Raw genomic sequence first — 14,555 nt, 5'->3', positions numbered from 1 at the left:
TGACTCATGTAACCAAATATCACCTGTTCCCCAAAAATGTATGAAAATAAAAAATTAAACAATTAATAAATAAAATTACACACACACAAAATAATCGATGAGATACTACTTCACACCCACTAGGATGGTTATAATTTTAAAAAGGAAAAACAAGAGTTGGTGAGGATGCAGAAAATTTTTAGAACTCTAGTGCATTGGTGACAGAAATGTAAAATGGCATCACTTTTGTGGAAAATAGTTTTGTGGTTCCTTAATGAGTTAAACATAAAAGTATAATATGACCTAACAATTCAACTTCTTGGCTTGGATACAGGTGTTCAAACAAAAACTTGTACATAAATGTTCATAGGATCACTATTCACAATAGTCAAAGAGTAGAAACAACCCAATTGTCCATCAACTGCTGAAAGGATAAACAAATTGTGATATCTTCACAAAATGGAATATTATTCAGCTACAAAAAGAAGGAATACTGATACATGCTACAACATAAATGAACCTTGAAAACATTATGTGTTTAATGTTTTAAGTGGAAAAAAGCCAGACACAAAAATCCAATTGTATGATTTCATTTACATGAAATGTCCAGGATATGCAAATCATAGAGATAGAAGAACAGATTAGGGATTGTCAGTGGTTAGAGAGTGGCTGCTTAGTTGGAACAGAATTGGAACAGCTAGATGTAGCTTAGTCTTATTTCAGGAAGAAGCACTGGAGTGTGAACTGCACAGCAGAGTTGCTCTTTGAGGTAAAAGGGTGGCCTTTTGTACCCCCATGTCAGCAGGTCATTGACTGCATTCTACCGACTGGGTTTGTAACCAAGATTGTATGATGAAAATTATAAGAGATTTGTCTTCCTAATTTTCCTTTCTTCCTCCATGCATAAGTCACTATTAATTGGTTAACGCCATATCCTAACTCCTGGAGGCTACCCTTAGGGTTAATGAACTTGTTTTTCTTTTAAAAAACAATGGTCCATGGGTTTAGGTGTGGTGGCTCATGACTGTAATCCCAGGGCTTTTGGAGGCCAAGGCAGAAGAGTCACTTGAGCCCAGGAGTTTGAGGTTGCAGACAGCCATGATCACACCACTTTATTCCAACCTGGACCACAGAGCCAGAGCTCGTCTCTAAAATCATAGATGACACAGACAAATGAAAACACACCCAATGCTCATGATTGGGTAAAATAAATATTGTGAAAATGACCATATTGCCCAATGCAATCTAAAGTTTCAATGCAATTCCCATCAAAATACCATCATCATCCTTCAAAGAACTTCAAAAAAAAATCCTAAAATTTATACAAAATCAAAAGAGAGCCCACATAGAGAAAGCAATAACAAAGCAAAAAGAACAAATCTGGAGGTGTGACATTACCCAACTTCAAATTAAACTACAAGGCAATAGTTAACAGAACAGCAGGTACTGGTAAAAAAAAATTAGGCATGTAGTCCAATAACAGAATAGAGAGCCCAGAAATAAAGCCAAATACTTACAGCCAATGGATCTTCAACAAAGCATACAAAAGCTTGAAGTGGATGTATCAGTCCATTCTTGCACTGCTATAAAGAAATACCTGACAATGAATAATTTATAAATAAAATAGGTTTAATTGGCTAGCAACTCCACAGTCTGTATAAGAAGCATTGTTGGGGAGGCCTCAAGAAGCTTACAATTATGCAGAAGGCAAAGAGGAGGCTGGCATGTCTTACATGGTAGGAGAAAGAGAGAACAAAGAAAGAGGTGTTACACACTTTTAAATGACCAGATCTTTGAGAATTCACTCACTGTCATGAGAACAGCAAAAGGGAAATCCACCCTCATGATCCAATCACCTCCCCCTACTACCTTCCTCCAACCTTGAGGATTACAATTTGTTGTGAGATTTGAACAGGGAAACAGACCCAAATCATTCATTTCTACCCTTGGCCTTTCCCAAATCTCATGTCTTTCTCACATTGCAAAATATAATCATGCCTTCCCAACAGTTCCCCAAAGTCTTAACTCATTTCAGCATTAATTCAAAAGCCTAAAGTCCAAAGTCTCATCTGAGACAATGCAAATCCCTTCAACCTATGAGCCTGTAAAATAAAAAACAAGGTAATTACTTCCAAGATACAATGGAGGTATAAGCAATGGGTAAATACTTCCTTTCCAAAAGGGAAATATCTGCCAAAACAAAAGGGCTCCAAGCCCCTGCAAGTCTGAAACCCAGCATGGCAGTCATTAAATCTTACAGCTCAAAAATAATCTTTTTTGAGTCCATATCTCACATCCAGCCAACACTGATGCCAAGGGTGGTCTTCCAGGCCTTGGGCAGCTCTGCCTATGTGGCTTTGCAGGGTAGAGCTCTCATGGGTGTTTTCACAGGCTAGCATTGAGTGCCTGCAGCTTTTCCCAGCACATGGTGTGAGCTGTCAGTGGATCTACCATTCTGGGGTCTGGAGGATGGTAGCCCTCTTATCACAGCTCCACTAGGCAGTACCCCAGTGTGGTCTTGTGTGGGGGCTCAACCCCTATGCACTTCCCTAGTAGAGGTTCTTTGTAAGGTCTCTGCCCCTGCAGCAGATTTGTGCCTGGACATCCAGGCTTTCCCATACATCCTCTGAAATTTAGGCAGAAGCTCCCATGCCTCAGATCTTGCCTTCAGTGCACCACAAGCTTAAAATCACATGGAAGTTTTCAAGGCTTATGACTTGCACCCTTTGAAGTAGCAGCCTGAGACATGTTTGGCACACTTTTAGCCACGGCTGAAGCTGGAGCAGTTGGGACTCAGGGAGCAGTGTCCCAAGATTGTGCAGGGCAGTAGGGCCCTGGGCCCAGCCCACAGAACCATTCTTTCCTCCTGGGCCTCTGGGCCTATGATGGGAGGGGCTGCCGTGAAGATCAACAAATGCCTTTGAGGCATTTGTTGTTTTGGCTCCTCTTTACTTATGCAAATGTTTGCAGCAAACTTGAAAATTCCTCCCCAGAAAATGAATTTTTCTTTTCTACCACATGATCTTGCTACAAATTTTCCAAACTTTTATGCTCTGCTCCCCTTTTAAATATAAGTTCCAGTTTCAGATCATCTCTTTTTTCATGCATATGACCATACAATGTTAGAAGCTGTCAAGCTACTTTTGAATGCTTTGCTGCTTAGAAATGTCTTCTGCCAGATGCCCTTAATCACCTTTCTCAAGTTTGAAGTTCCACAGATCTATAGAGCAGGGACAAAATGCTACCAGTCTCTTTGCTAAAGCATGGTAAGAGTGACCCTTATTCCAACTTCCAATAAGTTCTTTATCCCCACCTGAGACCTCATCAGCCTGGACCTCACTGTCCCTCCTCCAACGTTGGAGATTACAATTTGATGTAAGATTAGGGAGAGGACACAGATCCAAACCATATCAGTGGGGGAAGAACACCGCACTCAATGAATGGTGCTGGGAACACTGACAAGCCACATGTAGAAGAATGAAACTGGATTCTCATCTCATCTTATAAAAAAATCAACTCAAGGTGGATCAAAGACTTGAATCTAAGATGTGGAGCCATTCAAATTCAAGAAGATAACATTTGAAAAACTCTTCTAGACGCTTAGGCAAAGAATTCATGATTAAGAACCCAAAAGCAAATGCAACAAAAATAAATAAATGAGACCTAACTAAAATCTTCTGTACAGTAAAAGAAATAATCAGCAGAGTAAACAGACCACTCACAGAGTGGGGAAAAAATATTCACAACTATGCATCGACAAAAGACTAATATCCAGAATTTACAAAGAACTCAAACAAATCAGCAAGAAAAATACAAACAATTCCATTGAAAAATGGGCTAAAGACATGAATAGAGAATTCTCAAGAGAAGATATACAATTGGACAAACAACACATGAAAAAATGCTCAACATCACTAATCATGATAGAAATGCAAATCAAAACCACAATGTGATAACACCTCACTCCTGCAAGAATGGCCATAATAAACAACCAACCAACCAACTTTTCAACCAACCAACCAGCCAAACAAACAAAAAACAGTAGATTTGACATGGATGCGGTGATGAGGGAACACTTCTATACTGATGGTGGGAATGTAAATAAGTATAGTTGCTATGGAGGACAGTGTGGAGATTCTTTAAAGAACAAAAAGTAGAACTACAATTTGATCCAGCAATCCCACTACTGGGTATCTACCCAGAGGAAAAGAAGTCAATATTCAAAAAGGATCCTTGCACACCCATGTTTACTGTGACACAATTTATAGTAGCAAAATCATGGAACCAACACAAATGCCCATCATTCAACGAGTGGATAAAGAAACTGTGGTATATATATATACACACACACATAACAGAATACTATGCAGCCATAAAAAGGAATAAATTCACAGCATTTGCAGTGATCTGGATGAATTTGAAGGCTATCATTCTAAGTGAAGTAACTCAAGAATGAAAAACCAAACATCATATGTTCTCATTGATATGTGGGAGCTAAGCTATGAGGACACCAAGGCATAAAAATGATATAATGAACTATGGGGAGTTGAAGGGAAGTGTTGGGGAAGGGTGAGGGATAAGAGACTGCAAATATAATGCAGTGTATACTGCTTGGTTGATGGGTGCACCAAAATCTCACAAATCACCAATAAATAACTTATTCATGTAACCAAATACCGCCTGTACCCCAATAATTTATGGAAAAAAATAAACTGAATTAATAGGTTCAAAAACAACATAAAAATAAAATAATGTTTTAGTACGGAGACAAAAAAGGATATACAAGCAGCCAATAAACATATTAAAAAATGTTCAACATCTCTAATCATCAGTGAAATGCAAATTAAACCCACAACGAGATACCAAATTAGTCCTGCAAGAATGATCATAAATACAACATTAAAAAAGAATATATGTTGGTGTGGATGTGGTGAAAATGGAATGCTTTTACACTGCTTGTGGGACTGTAAACTAGTACAACCACTGTGGAAAAGAATATGGAGATTCTTTCAAGAACTGAAAGCAGAACAACCATTTGATCCAGTAATTCCACTGCTGGGTACCTATCCAGAAGAAAAGAAGTCATTATATAGAAAAGAGACATACACACACATGTTTAGAGTGGCATGGAATCTACCTAAGTGCCCATGGATCAATAAATGGAGAAAGAACATGTGGTAAATATGCACCATGGAATACTACTCAGCCATAAAAGCAGAAAGAAATAATGGCCATTGCAGCAACTTGGATGCAACTGGAGGTCATTGTTCTAAGTGAAGCAACTCAGGAATAAAAAACCAGATGCTGTATGTTCTCACTCATAAGTGGGAGCTAAACCATGAGGATGCAAAGGCATTAAGATGATATAATGAACTTTGGAGACTCGAAGGAAGGGTGGGAGGGGTGACAGATAAAATGCTACATATTGGGTACAGTGTACACTGCTTAGGTTATGGGTACAGCAAAGTCTCAAAAATCACCACCAAAGAATGTAACCATGCAACCAAAAACCTCCTGGGTCCCAAAAATTATTGAAATAAAAATACATATAAATATTAGAATATAAATCATTCTACCATAAAGACACATGCACACAAGTGTTCATTGCAGCACTGTTCACAATAGCAAAGACATGGAATCAACCTAAATGTTCATTAATGGCTGACTGAATACAGAAAATGTGGTACATATACACCATGGAATACTATGCAGCCATAAAAAGAACAAGGTCATGTCTTTTGCGGGAACATAGGTAGAGCTAGAGGCCATTATCCTTAGCAAAGTAATGCAGGACCAGAAAAAAATACTGCATGTTCTCACTTATAGGTGGGAGCTAAATGATGAGAACTCATAAACACAAAGAAGGGAACAACACAAACTGGGGCCTACCTGAGAGTGGAGGGGTAGGAAAAGAGAGAAGAGCAGAAAAAATAACCATTGGGTACTTTGTTTAGTTACCTGGGTGATGAAATAATCTGTACAACTAACACGCATGACAAAGGATTAACCTATATAACAAACCTGCACATGTACACTTGAACTTCAAATAAAAATGGTAAACATAAATAAATTGGGGAAAATTTTTTAAATTTCTCTTTTATTCCATCTTCTTGACCCCTCACTTGCAAATAGAGGCCAACATACACCAGTGTTTAGTAGCATCACAGATGGCATCCCAAAGGAATAGCAATGCTGAGGGAACTGGGCTTCAAGGGCAATATTATCACAGAGTATACTTATTCTTTGGGGGCTTCAGCAATAACTGGGAAGACCAAAAGACCTAAGATGAGGAGGCCTTAGAGTTCAGAAATGGCTTTCTGCTTCTTGAGCAATGCCCTATTTGCTGGGAGAAGATCATGAATTTGGATTGAGCAGGATGAAGAAAGATGTTGAATAGGTTTCCAGAGGCAATTCAAAAATTTTTAGTTGAACATTGGCCCTGGACTCTATGTCATCTCTTTGTATCTGAGATGTCATTCCTGGCCACTATGAGCTCAGAGTAGTAGCTGAATAAAGATGAATGTAACGAATGGCCCATAGGAAGTGCACTGAGCTGGTGAATATCATTCAAGAAAGGGCAGTCACTGTGTGTTTGCCTAGCAGGGCTGAAATTTAGGACTTTGTTGGTTATTCACATAAAATGGGCGCCAGGCAAGCAGCAAGTAGATATAAACTCCAAGTTGTCTTCTGTTCAGGAAGCCAGGGGTTCCAGGATAGGTTTCATCCACTCAGAGCACAAACTGCATAGTTCCCAAAGAAATGAATTCCATGCTGGTGATAGGGTCTATGATCCATTATCAAAATGAGAAGTGATCAAGACTGTATAAGTGTATGGAGAAGAGTGTACCTAATCAGAACGCAAGAGTTTCCAGTGAGAGGGCAGGGAATTTTATTCCATCCTGGAATGAAACAAGGAAGAGAGGCATGAAGAGTTTCATTCACTGTGCGTTGGCACCTCAAAGTGTCTGGAAGTTAGGTTAAAGGAAGTGTAAGGAGAGAGGCATACCCATGAGTGAGGTTGGAGTTGCAGAAACTGTTGCAATGAACATGGGGAGAGAAAATAATGATCAAAATGACACCTAAGATGGTCCTTGCAAACAAAGACGCTATTTTCTGGAACTCTCTTCATTCTAGCTTCATGGATTTTTAGGTAATATGTTGTTTCTGTTCTCCTAAGTGGTTTTCCATACATGCTATGAAGTAGATAATCACAGCTCTTATAGTGGGAAAAGGGCTGTCATTCTGCCGTCTTGGTAGGAACTCCAAGAAACTGAGAATGGAGGGTGGGGACAAGTGCTACAGAAAAACATTCCCAGAGAAAATGTAAATAGTTTTCTGGTTGGTTTCAGCAAAAATATGGATTAGTGACTGCTGTCTATTTTTTTTTTTTTTTTTTTTTGCCCATCTAAAATATATGTGTTCATTGCACTTTTCCTGTCTCGTTCAGTCTTCTTTGATTAGTATAAAGCAGATAATGTGCCCCCTTGGTGCACATGTTGCAGGGGATTGCAAGTGATAATTTGTAGTCACATCATAGACACGGTGTCCTGATCAGATAAGATATTGCACTTTACTCTGAGCCTGTTTTTGCAATTGTAATGCCTTCAGAGATTCCTTTTTTTTTTTTTTTTTTTGAGATGGAGTCTCGCTCTGTCGCCCAGGCTGGAGTGCAGTGGCGGGATCTCGGCTCACTGCAAGCTCCGCCTCCCGGGTTCACGCCATTCTCCTGCCTCAGCCTCCCAAGTAGCTAGGACTACAGGCGCCCGCCACTACGCCCGGCTATTTTTTGTAGTTTTAGTAGAGACGGGGTTTCACCGTTTTAGCCGGGATGGTCTCGATCTCCTGACCTCGTGATCCGCCCGCCTCGGCCTCCCAAAGTGCTGGGATTACAGGCGTGAGCCACCGCGCCCAGCCTGAGATTCCTTACATGGTTAGTGTTTTCGGTATGTGGGAACTAGTTCTGAGTGGAACTAGTTGCCAAGGATGGCCCCTCATGACTACAGTCACAATAACCACAGCTTGTGGAGTCCTCTCCTTTTGATTAGGGCCGTCTGTATGACTCACCTTGATCAATGTAAAACCTTAGAAGTAACACTGTCTGCCATTCAAAGGTAAGTCCTGTGATGCTGTGCACCTTCTCCATGAGCCTTTTGAAAGGCTTTCTTTGGTGAAAGCCAATCACCATTTATTAAGTCCCAGAACCATGAGACTCTCCTGATTTTAGGAAATTAATGTCATGCATGGGAAGGTGAGGTATTGAAGGAGACAGCTTCCCAGTTTCTATGTGTTCACCCAGTCCTGCTGTTGAGTTGGACATGAGTAAAGCATCCTCTGAAATCCCAGCCTAAAAGATCTCTCAGAAAACGCGACTCCCGTCACATAATCTACCACTCACTTAAGTTCAGTAAACCTGTGAAGCGGGGAGAGATCAAAATAAATGATTGCTTTTAGCCGATGTGTGTTGTGAGGTTTGCTGTGCTGCAATTCATCACTGGAAAAGCAACAAATAAGGGTCTGCTCACTGTGTCAATGTACGTGACTTGTATCTATTCCAATAATAATCTATATGTTCTCTGATCTCAAATCATGACCATTCATTTCCAAAGAGAAACCCCTGGATTCTCCCCACATAAAATGAAGCAATTTTCAAATATTTGAAAATAAGAATAATTGGGATTCTTTAAGGGAAATCACTGGGCTCCAGTGATTCTCTAAACTATTACTTGGATTGAAAACTTCACATGCAAACTTGTCATCTTTTTCTTCAGTTCCTTCACAGCAGCCCGCACAAAGCCGGGCACAGTGTTCATACACAGTAAGCATCCTGAGAACAATGGAAAAAAATTAAGAAATTCCACATAATTTTCCTCGAGTTACAGATTTTCCCCAAAGCCACCATGTACACTTGCGTGGCTGTAAACAGCTACCTAACATTTAAGTGCCTTGAGTCATTTGAGATTGGGTAAGTATTTTAGCTCAGACTGTCTGAGGTCAACTACGTGCTATAGAAGGATGCTGTTTCTAATGTCTTCTCAGACATTCCACGGACCTTGTCACTCACTCCCTTTGTCACAGGAAGGTTTATCCCCTTTGATTTCCTGATGCCTCCCATAGAATGCCCTGGCCCCCCTTGGGGATGACAACTTCCTCTTTTCCCCTCTGAAAGCAAGAACCAAATCATGTGAGTTTTCGTGCTGTTTTAATGACAAAGTGTAGGGGAAAATGTGAGCAGGGATTATTCTGTTAGCAGGTTCTGGGAATCCCATGGTCAGGTAGAAAGAGGGATTCCTCAACAATGAGGAGTGTGATCATCTCCCTCAATTGCAGACACACACTGAGGTCAGGGAGATATCTCTCGACACTTGCACCATCTTCACAAATGATGGCGGGATTCGATGGACAAAGCCGTAAATGCGTATGCCATTGACCTTTATCTACAAGAGGAAAAATGCATCAGAAAGAAAGCATGCCACCAAACAAGTTTTCGGCCTCCTCTCCACTCTGTCCTGGTACAAATAACATTCCCCAAGAAAATTCCTAGTTATACAAGTTAACGTATTAGATACACTTATGTTTACAGATGACGTTTTGTGCCTATTTGAGACAGTACCCGACTTTATTTCTAATGTTTCCACTCATTCCTCTAGCGAAGTTCTATACTCTGTGTCACAAAGTCTTTGCTTACTCAGCCTCCCTTCTAACCTGGAAGATCCCCATCGCCAGGGACTGTGTCTCAGGAACTTGAGACCCTGCATCTCGCACAGGACCTGCCACAGGGTTAGTGCTAGACCATGTTCGTTGAATGCATACTTTTCAGTTCCATGAACTGTGATTGTTTTTCACTACTGATGGCACAGTTTCTCTTTGGAGTAACCTACATCTGAGGTGTTAGTGGCAAAGAAGGAAACCCAGGGTTCTTATAGAATGAAAGGAGAACTGTTCTTGTGAAACAGGATATTACCTTCAAAAACTTCTAAGCATAGGAAAAGATCCCTCGCTTGAATCTGAATAAGATGTGAATGTTTTGGCCTACTCGTTAGAGAAAGCCAGAAAGTATGGATGTATTCTTTATATTGAGGCTATAGAGAAAGTAACCTTATTAGTATTAATTTTTCGAATTTAAAATGCACACATTTTTGAGCCAGTTTTTCCATTTTTTTGTAATTATCTTCTAGTACAAGTATTGGGAGGTTGGTAATGACAAAAGGATTGATTAGAAAACTTAATACGACATCATTTGTGAGAGCAAAATACTGGAAGGAAATTTAGTGCCCCCAAAAGGGCCAAGTTCCACAACTTTGGGTAAACTTCTTAACACAATATTATGCAATCTTTAAAAACTGAAGCAGCACGACAGATTGATAATGTCTTCAATATATATTCTTTGGCAACAAATCAACTTAGTTCTTGAAGCGTAATGTGTAGAGCAACTTATACCAGGATTTGCTTAAAAACAAATGAAATCATAGACATATCTATATGCTTCCATAAGCAAAAATTTCCTCTGAAGGGCTGGGCATGGTGGCTTAAGCCTGTAATCCCATTATATTGAGAGGCCAAATTGGGCAGATAACTTGAGGTGGGGAGTTCAAGACCAGCCTGGCCAAAGTGGTGAACCCCCGTCTCCCCTAAAAATACAAAAATTAGCCAGGTGTGCTGGCACACACCTGTAGTCCCAGCTACTTGGGAGGCTGAGGCGAGAGAATTGTTTGAATCCAGGAGGTGGAGGTTGCAGTGAGCTGATATCATGCCACTGCACTCCAACCTGGATGAAAAATGAGACTCTATCTCAAGAAAACAAACAAACAAAAACAAACAAACAAACAAAACCTCTTTGAATGAAAGCAGAGCTCTGGTAATGTTTTTCCTATGGTAGAATTCGGGCCCCAAAATGAGACAAAGACTTAATTTGTGACTGATTAAAACAACCTTTTTTTTTTAAACTTTTTTTTCCTGAAGTATATTGTATTCACTCAGCTAAATGAAAATTTAAATAATGGCATAAGTAGAAATGAGCAGTATGTGAAAAGACAGAGGAGATTATCTACTTTGGGGGAAATGTCAGGTGAGCTGACCTTGACATTGGTCAGATTTGGGAAAGAGCTGAGGATGGCAGTGCAAGCAGGGGGTGCTCTGTGATGAAAACCAGGGGCAGGAGTAGTTATGGGAGATGGACCCTGACGGACTACTGAGGCCAGATCAATGAGAGCTGCCTCCTGTTTTGGGAGCCCACAGAGCCTGGGTGCTGGGAGCTCCTGGGATGCTCACCTCATACTCATTGTAATGTACGTAGATGCACAGCTCAAATTGTTTGCCATCCTCAAAGGGCACGTAGTCTGTTGTCTCCTCCAACATCCATATCCCAAACTCACGCCTGTTCATGACCACATGATTGCCAAAGTGCACTCGGAAACGGAAGGCAATATCTGAATCCTCATCCATGTCAGTGTAGAAATCCACCTGCAGCTGTGGGTCATTGCTGAGGGTGAAGCACGCAGAATGTTGGGCAGGTCCCTCCCTTGCGCAGACACACACTCGACACACACACAAATCCCTTCCCCCATTTACCTAGGGAAAAAGTCTCCCAGATAATACTGATGGCCAGGTCCCTGTGGGGATGCTTCAGCTCCTCATGCCCCCAGGCAGGGAGATTCTGTGCTCCTCATCCCCAGATGAAAACTGAGCCACAGTCACTGACCTGGGCCTATGACTTGTTCATTCCCGAAAATTCTATGCCCCCTGATAAAGAGCCACAGCCCCAACCCACTGAGTGTTCTCCTCCTGTAGGCCCCATGGCTGGCCCACATGCAGTTGCTGTGGGTCTCATGCCTGGTGCTGGAGGGTCTCCAAGACCTGCACCTGCATGGGGCCTCCATTCTGCCAACTAGACATTTCCACATCACCCACATGTAAGGTCAAATCTTCGCAAATATTCTCCCTTCTTCTCCAACCCCTCCATTGGACCATGGAGTACTCACATAAAAGAGTGGATTGGTGTCCCTTTGATTATCACGCAGGAACCAACAGACAAAGACACAGGCAGTTTGTATGGCACCTGCCAGAGTATTGAGAGTAAGTGAGAGGTGCAGGGTCAGGTGCAGTCTCCCCTCCTGTAACATATTCTCATGGTGCAGGAGGTTGGAGATGAAAGGGCAGACTCTGTGGACTCTCCTCTTTAACCCTACCGCATTCAGGGCCCCATATTCCTGAAGATATGGCGGACCCATAAGTTAGAGCAAGGGTTCAGGAGCCAGGATGCCTGGATTCCAGTCCTCATTCTGCCTTTTACTAGCAGTGCAGTCTTAGATTTGCTACTTGAACTCTCCCTCATTTTCCCTAGGACAACGAGGATTATCAGGAATTTCTACTTTGTAGGATGTTCTCCGTAATAGGGAGTTAATACATGTAAAAGTGTTACCCTAATCCCTGTCATGCGTAGGGCCTCTTAGGGTGACCTAACAGGACAGGAGAGTCCTCTTGAAAGACTGACCTGCCTTCATTTTCAACTCTGAAAATTAAAACAAGACTTGTAAATGTAAGAATTTAAACATTCACTCCAGTGAGAAACAACACTTGTTGAAAGGGAGAGGGAAATGATGAAAGAACAGGAAACCCCTGTGTGTGGGATGCACATGCATCACTATCATCAAGGGCCATGGACATCCTTCCAAGAAGGGGCACACACTACTGAGAGCACAGCCCCAGTACTTGCACAAATGAAGCTTGTGGGTCAGGGACATAACTGGAGGGAATGATTGATTTCTATGATGACTACAAGTAGATGAGATGATTTTTCTGTACTTTTGAGATAGGTTCTTGCTCTGTCACCCAGGCTGACATGCAGGGATGCAATCATGGTTCACTGAAACCTCAGACTCCTGGGCTGCAGTGAATCTCACACATCTGCTCCCTCTTGAATAGCTGGGAAGAAAGGTACCTGCCTCTCTGCCAGTCAAATATTTAAAGTTTTTTAAAGAAAGGGTCTCACTCTGATACCCAGACTGGTCTCAAACTTCTGGCCTCGTTATCCTCTCATCTTTGCCTCCAAAATTGGTGGGATTATAGCCATAAGCCAGTGAACCCAGCTGCTTGGTTGATTAATATCCACTGTAAGCTCCTTCTGAACTGAGACTTAACTTGTTCTTTCATGGGTGTAGAACAAGTTTAGTCTCAGTTCAGACAGAGCTTACAGTGGATATTTTGTGTGATTCAGTCTCTGAAATCACGGCCTCTAATGTCCTTCCCTAACAAACCAGTATCTGCACACCCTCCTGTCACACAGTGGGAAGAACTGGATGGGCTAGGGACAGGCAAGCTGAGCCTGGGAGGCAAGAGACAGTGGTCACTCTGTGCAGACCCCACCTGAGGAACCATCACCCCCATAGTCTGCATTCCTCTTCCCCACTCTTACTGGGAAGAGACATCTACTGATCATACATTCTGCTCTCACAAGTGATCTGAAATAAGTCCTTGGTAACTCACAATCCCCAAGATCCCCACCAGTTAAGCCACATGGGATTCACATCAGAGGTGCTGCTGTGTGGGGAGAAACATTCACATGTGAAGAAAGCCACATGCATGATCCCACTTCAACATACAGTCACATCCCAGCACACACACTCACAGTCACACAGAGCCACACCACTCACTGCGTCACACACACCTGCTCACTGTGCACATAACGATGCTCATGCACTGGTCTGGCTGTGCTCACACACATACTCACATCATAGACAGGAAACAAAGCCGACTCACCCCTTTACTCTCCATTCACACACCTGCTCGTCCTGGTGGGTAATCCACCTCCCACTTAAAGTCACATTATCTCCGCAGAGTTTATGCTCATCAGACACCACCTCACACTCACCGAAGGTTACACTGGTCCAGGGTCCACACCGCAATCCCCACAAGCATCTCAGATACCATAGCCTCAGGGTTTCTATTCCACACCTCAATAGCTCTAAGTAAAGCATTCACAGCAAAAATGCTCATATTTTCATCTCATAAAATCTCCCATTTCTTTCTTGGTTTGTGTGACACGAAATTTTTGAAGGCTGTGCCTTTTCAACTCACGGGTAAAGAAGACATTGTTCTCTCCTTCTTGGCGACCTTCAGAATTGAGTCCAGTCTTCTGAGTGAATCTCTGAGTTGCAGCATTTAAATGACCCACTTCAGCCTTGCCCTCGGGCTTCATTCCAGATTCCAAGCTCCTCCCAGCAAGATTTCCTTGCAGCTTTAGACAGGTTTAGTTGTTAGGAAGAAACTCAGTCACAACCATAGCTATTTGCAGGTCTGTATCTGTAATGCAGCAGAAGTGACAGTGGGGGAGTTACCAGGCTGTGGATTGGGTTACCAGGGAAATGCATAGATAAAGATGATGGAGTGAGCGGTAGTGGTTGTAAAGCCCAGCCTTTATGCCTCTCAAGCCTTTTCTCATCTATGCAGAATATACCCAGAAAGTGTACATTTTCCCAATTTGTACAACGGCTGAAAAGAAAAAAGTTGGAGATTTTGGGGAAATACATTAGCCCTAGAAGGTAATGATTCTCTCTGCTTTTGAACGTTCTGGGAGAGCA

The 14,555-nt window shown here is 41.9% G+C and overlaps 1 protein-coding gene across 3 annotated transcripts; it reads right to left on the bottom strand.

The window, feature by feature from the left end:
* Positions 1-9,161: 9,161 nt before the first annotated feature.
* On the bottom strand, positions 9,162-14,112 carry LGALS13 (galectin 13). 3 transcript variants are annotated; one of them, XM_024451474.2, is made up of 4 exons: positions 12,612-14,112; positions 11,958-12,034; positions 11,248-11,458; positions 9,162-9,413 (listed from the first exon to the last, which is right to left on the bottom strand). In XM_024451474.2, the coding sequence occupies exons 1-4, from the start codon at positions 12,717-12,719 to the stop codon at positions 9,297-9,299; spliced, it is 513 nt and encodes a 170-aa protein (XP_024307242.1). In that variant the 5' UTR covers positions 12,720-14,112; the 3' UTR covers positions 9,162-9,296. The 3 variants fall into 3 exon arrangements, with proteins under 3 accessions (XP_024307242.1, NP_037400.1, XP_011525176.2); NM_013268.3 differs by having other exon boundaries at positions 14,053-14,112; XM_011526874.3 differs by lacking the exon at positions 11,958-12,034 and having other exon boundaries at positions 11,248-11,445; positions 14,053-14,112.
* Positions 14,113-14,555: the final 443 nt, after the last annotated feature.

This window comes from Homo sapiens, chromosome 19 (genome assembly GCF_000001405.40).
Source record: "Homo sapiens chromosome 19, GRCh38.p14 Primary Assembly".
Classification (NCBI taxonomy): domain Eukaryota; kingdom Metazoa; phylum Chordata; class Mammalia; order Primates; family Hominidae; genus Homo; species Homo sapiens.
This window is presented reverse-complemented; position numbering and strand designations above follow the sequence as displayed.